Source organism: Homo sapiens, chromosome 16 (genome assembly GCF_000001405.40).
Source record: "Homo sapiens chromosome 16, GRCh38.p14 Primary Assembly".
In the NCBI taxonomy this organism is placed as follows: domain Eukaryota; kingdom Metazoa; phylum Chordata; class Mammalia; order Primates; family Hominidae; genus Homo; species Homo sapiens.
The window spans coordinates 18,981,571-18,994,668 of record NC_000016.10 but is presented as its reverse complement, the minus strand read 5'-3'; the positions used below and the strand labels follow the sequence as shown (position 1 = coordinate 18,994,668).

Here is a 13,098-nt window from a genome sequence, read left to right as displayed (position 1 = left end):
TCCTATCCTCAATACCTCCCTCCACAACCCATTCTGTTCTAGATAAACCTAGCTGACCCCATAAATCCTAACTCCTTTCCCCACTCCCCTTTCCATTCCTTAAGAAGCAGCCCTAAAAGCTGTTCCCACACTAGCTCTCCCTAACTCATCCCCACCCTTTTCATTACACACAGCCAAAGTACAGGGCTGTGCGGTCAGAATTCTTTTTTTTTTTTTTGAGAAGAGTCTCGCCGTGTCACCCAGGCTGGAGTGCAGTGGCACGATAGTCAGTATTCTTACACAAGAGCCAGGAGTGCGCCCTGTAGCCTTTCTGTCCAAACAACTTGACCTTACTGTTTTCGCATAGCCCTCATGTCTGCATGTGGCGGCTGCTGCTGCTGCTTTAATACTTTTAGAGGCCCTCAAAATCACAAACTATGCTCCACTTACTCTCTACAGTTCTCATAACTTTCAAAATCTATTTTCCTCCTCACACTTGAAGTATATACTTTCTGCCCCCCAGCTCCTTCAGGTATACTCAGTCTTTGTTGAGTCTCCCACACTTACCATTGTTCCTGGCCTGGACTTCAATCCAGCCTCCCACATTATTCCAGATACCACACCTGACCCCCATGACTGTATCTCTCTGATCCACCCGACATTCACTTCATTTCCCCATATTTCTTTCTTTCCTGTTCCTTACCCTGATCACACTTGGTTTATTGATGGCAGCTCCACCAGGCCTAATCACCACTCACCAGCAAAGGCAGGCTATGCTATAGTATCTTCCACATCTATCATTGAGGCTACCACTCTGCCCCCCTCCACTACTTCTCAGCAGGCTGAACTCATTGCCTTAACTCGGGCCCTCTCTCTTGCAAAGGGACTACACGTCAATATTTATACTGACTCTAAATATGCCTTCCATATCCTGCACCACCATGCTGTTATATGGGCAGAAAGAATGTCCTCACTATGCAAGGGTCCTCCATCATTAATGCCTCTCTAATAAAAACTTCTCAAAGCTGCTTTACTTCCAAAGGAAGCTGGAGTCATTCACTGCAAGGGCCATCAAAAGGCATCAGATCCCATCACTCAGGGCAACACTTATGCTGATAAGGTAGTTAAAGAAGCAGCTAGCGTTTCAACTTCTGTCCCTCATGGCCCGTTTTTCTCCTTCTCATTGGTCACTCCTATTTACTCTTCTACTGAAGTTTCCACCTATCAATCTCTTCCCACACAAGGCAAATGGTTCTTGGATCAAGGAAAATATCTCCTTCCAGCCTCACAGGCCCATTCTATTCTGTCATCATTTCATAACTTCTTCCATGTAGGTTACAAGCTGTTAGCCCACCTCTTAAAACTTCTCATTTCCTTTCCATCGTGAATATCTATCCCCAATCCTCCACTCTTGACTCCCTCTTGGAGTGGATAGATGATCTTTGCTGACAGGACACACTCCAACACTTTCACCCTGATGAAGTCCTATTCTTTACTTTTATACTCACTCTTGTTCTCATTCCCATTCTTATGCCACCCTCTACCTCTCCCCAGCTATCTCCACCACACTATCAATCTCACTCACTCTCTCCTAGCCATCTCTAATCCTTCTTTAAGAAACAATTGCTGGCTTTCAAAAGAACAAAGCTGGAGGCATCATGCTACCTGACTTCAAACTATACTACAAGGCTACAGTAACCAAAACAGCATGGTACTGGTACCAAAAAAGAGATATAGACCAATAGAACAGAACAGAGCCCTCAGAAATAATATCACACATCTACAACCATCTGATCTTTGACAAACCTAACAATAACAAGAAATGGGGAAAGGATTCCCTATTTAATAAATAGTTCTGGGAAAACTGGCTAGCCATATGTAGAAAGCTGAAACTGGATCCCTTCCTTACACCTTCTACAAAAATTAATTCAAGATGGATTAAAGACTTAACTGTTAGACCTAAAACCATAAAAACCCTAGAAGAAAACCTAGGCAATACCATTCAGGACATAGGCATGGGCAAGGACTTCATGTCTAAAACACCAAAAGCAATGGCAACAGAAGCCAAAATTGACAAAAGGGATCTAATTAAACTAAAGAGCTTCTGCACAGCAAAAGAAACTACCATCAGAGTGAACAGGCAACCTACAGAATGGGAGAAAATTTTTGAAATCTACTTATCTGACAAAAGGCTAATATCCGGAATCTACAAAGAACTCAAACAAATTTACAAGAAAAAAACAAACAACCCCATCAAAAAGTGGGCAAAGGATATGAACAGACACTTCTCAAAAGAAGACATTTAAGAAGCCAACAGACACATGAAAAAATGCTCATCATCACTGGCCATCAGAGAAATGCAAATCAAAACCACAATAAGATACCATCTCACACCAGTTAGAATGGCCATCATTAAAAAGTCAGGAAACAACAGGCGCTGGAGAGGATGTGGAGAAATAGGAACACTTTTACACTGTTGGTGGGACTGTAAACTGGTTCAACCATTGTGGAAGACAGTGTGGCAATTCCTCAGGGATCTAGAACTAGAAATACCATTTGACCCAGCCATCCCATTACTGGGTATATACCCAAAGGATTATAAATCATGCTGCTATAAAGACACATGCACACGTATGTTTATCGTGGCACTATTCACGATAGCAAAGACTTAGAACCAACCCAAATGTCTATCAATGATAGACTGGATTAAGAAAATGTGGCACATATACACCATGGAATACTATGCAGCCACAAAAAAGGATGAGTTCATGTCCTTTGTAGCAACATGGATGACGCTGGAAACCAGCATTCTCAGCAAACTATCTGAGCAAACAAACAAGGACAAAAAACCAAACACCGCATGTTCTCACTCATAGGTGGGAATTGAACAATGAGAACACTTGGACACAGAAAGGGGAACATCACACACCGGGGCCTCTTGTGCGGTGCGGGGACGGGGGAGGGATAGCATTAGGAGATACACCTAATGTAAATGATGAGTTAATGGGTGCAGCATACCAACATGGCACATGTATACATATGTAACAAACCTGCACATTGTGCACATGTACCCTATAACTTAAAGTATAATTTAAAAAAATAAGTAAATAAATAAATAAAAAAGAAACAATTGCTGGCTTTGCAATTCTCTTTCCTCCAAAATCGCCGAGGCCTCAATTTACTCATTGCTGAAAAAGGAGGACTCTGTATATTTTTAAATGCAGAGTGTTGTTTTTACCTAAATCAATCTGGCCTGGTATATGACAACATAAAAAAACTCAAGGATAGAGCCCAAAAACTTGCCAACCAAGCAAATAACTATGCTGAACCCCCTTGGGCACTCTCTTAATTGGATGTCCTGGGTCCTCCCAATTCTTAGTCCTTTAATACCTGTTTTTCTCTTTCTCTTATTCAGACCTTGCGTCTTCTGTTTAGTTTCTCAATTCATACAAAACCATATCCAGGCCATCACCAATAATTCTATATGACAAATGCTCCTTCTAACAACCCCACAATATCAGCCCTTACCCCAAAATCTTCAGCTGAATCTCTCCCACTGTAGGTTCCCATGCTGCCCCTAGTCCCGCTCGAAGCAGCCCTGAGAAACATCACCCATTATCTCTCCATACCACCCCCAAAAATTTTCACTGCCCAGACACTTTACCACTATTTTGTTTTATTTTTCTTATTAACATAAGAAGACAGGAATGTCAGGCCTCTGAGTCCAAGCTAAGCCATCATATCCCAGTGACCTGCACGTATACATCCAGATGGCCTGAAGCAACTGAAGATCCACAGAAGTGAAAACAGCCTTAACTGATGATATTCCACCATTGTGATCTGTTTCTACCCCACCCTAACTGATCAATGTACTTTGTAATCTGCCCCACTCTTAAGAAGGTTCTTTATAATCTCCCCCACCCTTAAGAAGTTTATTTGTAATTCTCCTCACCCTTAAGAATGTACTTTGTGAGATCCACCTCCTGCCCCGAAAACATTGCTCTTAACTCCACCGCCTATACCAAAACCTATAAGAACCAACGATAATCCCACCACCCTTTGCTGACTCCTTTTTCGGACTCAGCCCACCTGCACCCAGGTGAAATAAACAGCTACGCTGCTCACGCAAAGCCTGTTTGGTGGTCTCTTCACACGGACACGTGAGACAGGAGTTCGAGACGAGCCTGGCCAATCTGGTGAAACCCTGTCTCTACTAAAAATACAAAAATTAGCCGGGCATGGTGGCGGGCACCTGTAATCCCAGCTACTCGGGAAGCTGAGGCACAAAAATTGCTTGAACGCAGGAGGCAGAGTTTGCAGTGAGCCAAGATCACACTGTCAGGCCTCTGAGCCCAAGCCAAGCCAGGCCATTGCATCCCCTGTGACTTGCACGTATATATCCAGATGGCCTGAAGTAACTGAAGATCCACAAAAGAAGTAAAAATAGCCTTAACTGATGACATTCCACCATTGTGATTTGTTTCTGCCCCATCCTAACTGATCAATGTACTTTGTAATCTCCCCCACCCTTAAGAAGGTACTTTGTAATCTCCCCAACCCTTAAGAAGGTTCTTTGCAATTCTCCCCACCCTTGAGAATGTACTTTGTGAGATCCACCCCTGCCTGCAAAACATTGCTCTTAACTTCACCGCCTATCCCAAAACCTATAAGAACTAATGATAATCCACCACCCTTTGCTGACTCTCTTTTCGGACTCAGCCCGCCTGCACCCAGGTGAAATAAACAGCCATGTTGCTCACACAAAGCCTGTTTGGTGGTCTCTTCACATGGACGCGCATGAAACACACGACTGCACTTCAGGCTGGGCGACAGAGCTAGATATCATCTCAAAAAAAATAAAAAAAAGGAGTCGCCTCCCCCCGAGAGGCCTCTGGACCACCCCACCTGAGCAGGCCACTCTTCCTTCTCTATCTTACCATCTTGTTTCTGTCCCAGTAGTTAGGGCTACCTCCAGTAATCCTATTTGTCCCTTTACCGTTTAGTGCGTCTCGCTTGACTAGAAGCTCCATGAAAGCAGAGACCCTACCTGCCTCCTTCGCCACTAGACCCCCAGGGCCTGGTATGTGGTGATCGCTCAGGGCCCATTTTCTTCCCTTCCTCCTCCTCCAAGGGTGGGGACAGAGCATCAGAAGGTCTAGGTGGCCCCAGGCCCAAACAATGCTCCTTTAAAAGGAAACCAGATTGTTACAAAGGTCAGAGGCCGAAAAGTTATTTCCGCCTTTTATCCCTCTAAATTCTTCACTTCCTGAAAAAAACAAACAAAAAAAAGCCACTGAGGGCCCTTGGACTAAATCCAGGCCTGAGTTGCTGGGCAGAGGTCAGTCTTGTCCAGACATGGGGAAAAAATAACTCGAGTCAGACGGGTGGGTCACCAGAGAACGAATCCAGCCTGCAAATGGCCTGTGCAATCTTCAGCTCTGTCCAGACCTGCCTCCCTCTGGGGATGCCTTTAAAGGTGATGAATGACCTGGACGAATGGGCTTAGAAGATAAGAGGGAAAAACAAATATCACAGGTCAAATGGTTATTTGTCTTCAAGTTTAACACCGTCTACTGGACTGAAAGACGTCCAAAGAATAGTTGTTCAACTATGTAAATTCCTTTTTTTTTTTTTTTTGAGACAGAGTCTCACTCTGTTGCCCAGGCTGGAGTGCAATGGTATGATCTTGGCTCACTGCAAGCAACCTCTGCTCCCGGGATCAAGCCATTCTCCTGCCTCAGCTTCCCAAGTAGCTGGGACTACAGGCATGTGCCACCACACTCAGCTAATTTTTGTATTGTTAGTAGAGACGGGGTTTCACCATGTTGACCAGGCTGGTCTTGAACTCCTGACCTCAGGTGATCCACCAGCCTCGGCATCCCAGAGTGCTGGGATTACAGGTGTGAGGCACTGTGCCCGGCCAACTACATAAATTCCTAACAACGTATCTCCAGAAAGTATAGGCACAACGGCACATGCAGTCATGCCCGTAATCAAGTGCTCCAGGAGGCCAAGGCAAGAAGATCCCTTGAGCCCAGGAGTTTGAGACCAGCCTGGCAACATAGCAAGACTCTGTCTCTACAAAATATACAAAAATTGGGCTGGGTATGGTGGCTCACGCCTGTAGGCCCAGCACTTTGGGAGACCAAGGCAGGAAGATCGATTGAACTCAGGAGTTTGGGACCAGCCTGGACAACATAACCAGACCCAGTCTCTACTAAAACTCAAAAAAATTAGCCAGACGTGGTTGCATGCGCCTGTAGTCCCAGCACTTTGGGAGGCCAAGGTGGGTGGATCACCTGAGGTCAGGAGTTCGAGACCAGCCTGGCCAACATGGTGAAGTATCATCTCTACCAAAAATACAAAAATTAGCCAGGCCTGGTGGCACACACCTGTAGTCCCAGCTACTTGGGAGGCTGAGGCAGGAGAATGGATTGAACCCAGGAGGCAGAGGTTGCAGTGAGCTGAGATCGCACCATTGCACTCCAGCCTGGGCAACAGAACAAGACTCCATCAAAAAAAAAAAAAAAAAAGAAAGAGAGAAGAAAAGAAAATTAACCAGGTGTGGCTGCATGCACCTGTAGTCCCAGCACTTTGGGAGGCCAAGGCAGGAGGATCAATCAAGGCTAGGAGTTTGAGACTGCAGAAGGAAACCCTGTCTCTAAAAACAAGGTCCAGCTAAAATCAGTGTCCAGCTCCACCACAAGCGCAGCTCCAGGGGCTGTTGAGTTTTGCCTCTACCGTTCCAAGTAGTCCCTGCTCCAGACCAAGTCCCACCATCTGGCAGTCAGGTCAGTCCAACCACAGTCATATCAAGGCCCTTCCAGGTTCTTTCATTGAGTGTCCCTTGAGGAGGCTGGAGGAGAGGCCAATGACATTTGCACTTGAGACTCCAGAGTCTAGCTTTATAACCACTATGTTACGGCTGCCAGTGTGGCTGCAAGGACACTTCTTTCATTCATTCATTTATTCATTCACAATAGATGTAGCATCTGCTGTGTGCCAGATGCCATTCTAGGTTCTAGGGAAACAAGGCAAAGCCCCTGTTTTCCAAGGCATCCACATTCTAGGAAAGACTGCTACCAGCCTGGCGTGGTGGCTCATGCCTGTAATCCCAGTACTTTGGGAGGCCGAGGTGGGCGGATCACTTGATGTCAGGAGTTCGAGACCAGCCAACATAGTGAAAGCCCGTTTCTACTAAAAGTACAAAAATCAGCTGGGCATGGTGGCACGTGCCTGTAGTCCCAGCTACTCAGGAGGCTAAGGCAGGAGAATCGCTTGAACCTGGGAGGCAGAGGTTGTGGTGAGCCGAGATCGCGCTACTGCACTCCAGCCTGGGCAACAGAGTGAGACTCCATCAAAAAATAATAATAATAAAATAAAGACTGCTACTAAACAAGAAAATAACCAAACCAGATAGATGACTTCAGGTGGTGGTAAGAGCTTTGAAAGAATAAGCAAGGTAACTAACTGGTCAGAGGAAGTGAGATGGGTGCATTGCCTCAGATAGACCGCCCCAGAGGTCTGCCTCTCTGACATGACATTTGAGTAGAGACCCAACAGGAAAAGGAAGAGGCTGCTCTATGGCCGGGTACGGTGGCTCACACCTGTAATCCCAGCACTTTGGGAGGCCCAGGCGGGCGGATCACGAGGTCAGGAGATCGAGACCATCCTGGCTAAGACGGTGAAACCCTGTCTCTACTAAAAATACAAAAAAATTAGCCAGGCGTGGTGGCGGATGCCTGTAGTCCCAGCTACTCGGGAGGCTGAGGCAGGAGAATGGCATGAACCCGGGAGACGGAGCTTGCAGTGAGCCGAGATCGCGCCACTGCACTTCAGCCTGGGCGACAGAGTAAGACTCCATCTCAAAGAAAAAAAAAAAGAACCAAGAGGAGTCCAGGCGAAGAGAACAGCAGATGCAAAGACCCTGAGGCAGAAACAATCTTGGTATGCTGGAGGAATAGGAAGGCAGCCAGTGCAGCTAGAGCAGGATAGGTTAAGGGAGGATCAAGGTGATGAGGGCCTGGAAAGAGGGGCTGGGGTCGAATCACCAGATCCTGTTGGTTGCGATGGAAGAGCCTGGAGTTTATTCTCAGAGCAGTGAGAAGCCACCGGAAAGTTGTTTTTCTGTTTTTGAGACAGAGTCTAGCTCTGTCACCCAGGCAGACTGCAGTGGTGCAACCTCGGCTCACTGTAACCTCTGCCTCCCAGGTTCAAGCGATTCTCCTGCCTCAGGCTCCCCAGTAGCTGGGATTACAGGCACATGCCGCCATACCCATCTTTTTTTTTTTTTTTTTTTCAGACAGAGTCTCTGTCACCCAGGCTGGAGTGCAGTGGCACAATCTCGGCTCACTGCAACCTCCACCTCCCGGGTTCAAGCGATTCTCCTGCCTCAGCCTCCCGAGTAGCTGGGACTACAGGTGCATGCCACCACACCTGGCTAATTTTTTGTGTTTTTAGTAGAGACAGGATTTCACCACGTTAGCCAGGATGGTCTCGATTTCCTGACCTCGTGATCTGCCCACCACGGCCTCCCAAAGTGCTGGGATTACAGGTGTGAGCCACTGTGCCTGGCCAGCCACCGGAAAGTTTTATGTAAGCAGGGGAGTGATCTGTTTTATCATTTAGAAGGATACATACCTCTTCTTTTTTTTTTAGAGACAGGGTCTAGTTCTGTCACCCAGGCTGGAGCCCAGTGTCATAATCATAGCTTACTGTAACCTCAAACTCCTGGGCTCAAGTGATCCTCCTGCCTCAGCATCCCAAAGTGCTGGATTACAGGCATGAGTCACCATGCCTGGTCACACTTCTCATTCTTTAAACCAGACCTCATTTGTCGCCTCCCCCATCCCCCGCCCCACCCCACGGACTGTCCTATAATGCCCATACAACAGGTCACTGTTTAGAAAGTGCTACAAAGTTACAAACACAGTCCCTTCTGAGCCTCCCACCAATGTTGGTGGGTACAAGATCAAAAAAAAAAAAAAAAAACTCATCTATCTAAGGGGCATAGAAGACTTTTTAGTTAGAGGGCCCAATTATAGTCCTCCTGAAAAGATGCCAAAAGTCCCCTCATACACTTAGCAAAGATGCAAGAAAGATGAATCTCACATTCTTTGTATGGGAAATGAGGAACTTGACATCTTCAATATAATGGATTCCACTAAAATAAGATGACTATTAATAGGAACCAACTAAAAAAATACTTGACTAGCTGTTATTGAAAGGCTGAAATTCAGCTGACATAAGCAGTATTAATATTGAGCTAGAAAATAATTCGCATTGAATCCACCCCAACTTTTGTTTTCTGATTTGGGTCTCTTCTAAATTTTTTTTTTCTTCTGGACATTGGGAACAATCCAATTTGAAGGCCTCAATGACCAAATCTACACTCATGTTTTATTCTATATCCTTGGTTTCTTTTTTTTTTTTTGAAACAGTCTTGGTCTGTCGCCCAGGCTGGAGTGCAGTGGCGCAATCTCGGCTCACTGCAACCTCCGCCTCCCGGGTTCAAGCTATTCTCTGCCTCAGCCTCCCAAGTAGCTGGGATTACAAGCACCCACCACCACTCCTGGCTAATTTTTGTATCTTCAGTAGAGATGGGGTTTCACCATCTTGGCCAGGCTGGTCTTGAACTCCTGACCTCGTGATCCACCCGCCTCAGCCTCCCAAAGTGCTGGGATTACAGGCGTGAGCCACCACGCCCGGCCCTACATCCTTGGTTTCAGTAAATCTCTATTCTAAAACTGAAAAAGAGAAAACATTGCAGATAAAACTTTACAGCAGGGTCTTGTGTTTTGTTCAGGACAAGATTCGTAAGCTCCAAATGCTACAAGGAACCCTGCCTGAGTGCTGGCAACTTTTTTATCCTGACTGGGCAGCCGTTGTACATATTTCTGTAGAAATTCATGGAGCTGTATACTTTACTGTAATTCTACCCGATACAAAAGATTATAATACTTGGCTGGCTACCATTTATTGTGACTGTCTAGCCACAATGCCAGGCACTGTGCTAGACACATCACACGATTCTCAGCTAATCCCCGCCCCATTCTATTCCCATTTTACTGCTGAAGGATCTGAGGCTCAGAGAAGGCAAGCCACTTACCAAAGGTCCCACAGCAATAAACAGACAAGGCAGAATTCGGTTTCAAGTTGGTCTAACTGTATGTGAAGGCTGAAATGTCCGGGAGGCAGGCACCTCATACCAGAATGTTAGGCGTGGAGGGGGTGCTCAAATCCTTTCATTTAACAGCAGATGAGGCTATTGAAAGACTGTCTCGGTCAACAGCTGGAAGACAAACCCACCACGGTCCAGACTGCAGTTCTCGTGTCCTTTTGGCCCGGCTGGGTTCCACTGGATTGGATGAGGACGCGTTTGTGGAGGGAGCAGGAATAAGGAAGATCTCCTTCCCACCTGCTGTTCCCCAGAGCCGGGAGCACCCGGCGTCGGGGGTGGGAGGGAACAGCGGCCAGGCCGAGCCTCCAGCACCCGGCTCCCTCCGTGCGCCCTCGGACCCCAGGGGCACCGTCCCCGCGCGCGCTCCCTGCCGCCCTACCTGGATGGACCGCCGGCTGCCGGCTGGGCCTGCCGGGCTGGAGCGCACTGCCGCTGGACTCGCTCATGGCCGCGCCCCGCGCTCCTCAGAGGCTGCCGAGGACCCTCTCCAGCCGCCGCCGCCGCCGCCGCCTCCCCGGCCTTCCCTCGCGGAGCCGGGATTCCAGGTTCCGGCGCTGACATCACAGAAGCCGGAGTGGGGCGCCCCCGCGAGGAGCCGAGCATCAGGGACCGCAGAGGGGCTGCAGAGCCCGGGAGATCCGGCAAGGCTCCATCCAGCGGTGGCGACAAGCAGCGACCTCCCTGATGTCTCACTGAGCTTAAAAAATAACAATAGATTGGGCGCACTGGGAGCCCAGTCTCCACCAGGACCCGGTACACCCATGTAACAAACATGCACATGGACCCCCTGCATCTAAAATCAAACCTGATCTAATAAAGAAATAAATAACAAAAATAACTGGTTGGGAGTGGTGGCTCACGTCTGTAATCCTCGCATTTTGGGAGTCCGAGGCTGGAGGACCGCACGAACTCACAAGTTTGAGACCAACCTGGCCAACACAGTGAGACCCCCATCTTTAAAATTAAAAAATAAAAAGTCCACACGCAAAAAACCCCAAGACTCCAAATCAGTGCATCTAGTAAGTTACCATTTGGGAACAAAAAGGAAACCAAAAAATATATTTGTACATGCTTGTAAATGCCTAAGCTATCTCCCTAGAGGGTGCAAAAAACTGGCTACCTGTGGTAGCTCTGGGTGGGGAGCTAGAGGGCCGAGTGAAGAGAAAACCACGTGCAGTGTTTGTCTTTTACGTTTTGCACTATATCCTCGTTTCATCTCTACCTCTGTTCGTGTGCAGGTTAAAAACATAAAATTGCCAGGCGCAGTGGCTCACACCTGTAATCTCACCACTTTGAGAGGCCGAGGCGGGAGGATCACCTGAGGTCAGGAGTTCGAGACTATCCTGGCCAACACGGTGAAACCCTGTCTCTACTAAAAATACAAAATTAGCCTGGCATGGTAGTGCATGCCTGTAGTCCCAGCTACCAGGGAGGCTGAGGCAGGAGAATCGCTGGAACCCAGGAGGCAGAGGTTGCAGTGAGCCGAGATCACGCCACTGCACTCCAGCCTGGGCGACAGAAGGAGACTCCATCTCAGAAAAAAAAAGAAAAAGAAAAGTAATTGCTAAATATAAATAAATGGGGAAAATGGAGAGAAATCTCCTGTGCAGATTTTGAAATCATTTACGTAGATACTTTAAGGATGGGGAGCTTAGCTCCCTACTCCTTAAGTGTGAGTTGCCCATAGCGACATCCTTCCAAAAGAGTGCAGTATGGAAGTGGTGGTGGAAGAGGGTGAGGGTGGGTTTTATATTAGATAATACCTGACAAACACTGTCTCAGACAGATGATCAAAGTTAACATCATCCGGGATCAGTGGCTCACACCTGTAATCCCAGCACTTTGGGAGGCCGAGGCAGGTGGATCACTTGAGGTCAGGAGTTCGAGACCAGCCTGGCCAACATGGCGAAACCCTGTCTCTACCAAAAATACAAAAAAATTAGCTGGGCATGGTGGCGGGCGCCTGTAATCCCAGCTACTAGGGAGGCTGAGGCAGGAGAATCTCTTGAACCCAGGAGGCGGAGGTTGCAGTGAGTCGAGATTGCACTACTGCACTCCAGCCTGGGCAACAGAGTAAGACTCCATCTCAAAAAAAAAAAGTAAATAAGTAAATAAGTTAACATCAACATTAAGCCATGAGGATGGTGTGCACCCTTCCTACGATGGGATGAGAAGGGCACTTTACCTCTGTGGTCATAAGAAAAATATCAGACAAATTCAACTGAGGGGCATTCTACAGAATACCTGATTAGTATTCCTCAAAACTGTCAAGGTCATTTAAAAAAAAAAAAAAAGGAGGCTGGAGACTGGGTGTGGTGGCTCATGCCTGTAATCCCAGCACTTTGGGAGGCCAAGGCAGGTGGATCGCAAGGTCAGGAGTTCGAGACCAGCCTGGCCAAGATGGTGAAACCCTGTCTCTACTAAAAAAAATACAAAAAATTAGCTGTGTATGGTGGTGGGCACCTGTAACCCCAGCTACTCAGGAGGCTGAGGCAGAGAATTGCTTGAACCCAGGAAGCGGAGCTTGCAGTGAGCCGAGATTGTGCCACTGCACTCCAGCCTGAGCAACAGAGTGAGACTCCGTCTCAAAAAAAAAAAAGGCTGGACGCAGTGGCTCATGCCTATAATCCCAGCACTTTAGAAGGCTGAGGTAGGAGGATGGCTTGAGCCCAGGAGTTGGAGACTAGCCTGAGCAACACAGTGAGACCCCATCTCTCCAAAAAATTTTAAAAATTATCTGAATGTGGTGGTGCACGCCTATAATCTGAGCTACTCAGTTCCTGGAACACAAGTTAAAACACATTAAAAACTATGGAAATCTTAATAAAGTAGGGACTTCAGTTAATAGTCATGTATCACTCTTGGTTCATTAATTGTGAGAAATGTACCATATTGATGTAGGATGTTAATAGTAGGGGAAACTGGGCGTGGGCCATGTG

General features: G+C 47.2%; 1 protein-coding gene across 8 annotated transcripts in view, besides 2 other annotated features; it reads right to left on the bottom strand.

Annotated features, from left to right (window-relative positions):
• TMC7 (transmembrane channel like 7) overlaps positions 1 to 10,735 on the bottom strand; it is an 80,009-nt gene extending 69,274 nt beyond the window's left edge. For 6 of the 8 annotated variants that reach the window (NR_136733.1, NM_024847.4, NM_001324265.1 and 3 more), the window contains exon 1: positions 10,539 to 10,735. Coding sequence is in view for 3 of the 8 variants with exons in the window: in NM_024847.4 (NP_079123.3) it covers positions 10,539 to 10,605 (67 nt within the window). In the remaining 5 variants the exon portion in view is untranslated. Of the gene's footprint in view, positions 1 to 10,087; positions 10,383 to 10,538 lie in introns of those variants that run through there. The other 2 variants (XM_047434662.1, NM_001160364.2) reach the window with 2 other exon arrangements.
• Positions 5,388 to 5,682: an enhancer, noted in NCBI's record as "tiled region #10247; HepG2 Activating DNase matched - State 5:Enh". NCBI's record gives its function as "activates a minimal TATA promoter and a strong SV40 promoter by Sharpr-MPRA in HepG2 cells {active_cell/tissue: HepG2}" and the evidence as "EXISTENCE:reporter gene assay evidence [ECO:0000049][PMID:27701403]".
• Positions 10,765 to 10,824: a silencer, noted in NCBI's record as "silent region_7239". NCBI's record gives its function as "represses an Ori minimal core promoter by ATAC-STARR-seq in GM12878 lymphoblastoid cells {active_cell/tissue: GM12878}" and the evidence as "EXISTENCE:reporter gene assay evidence [ECO:0000049][PMID:35858748]".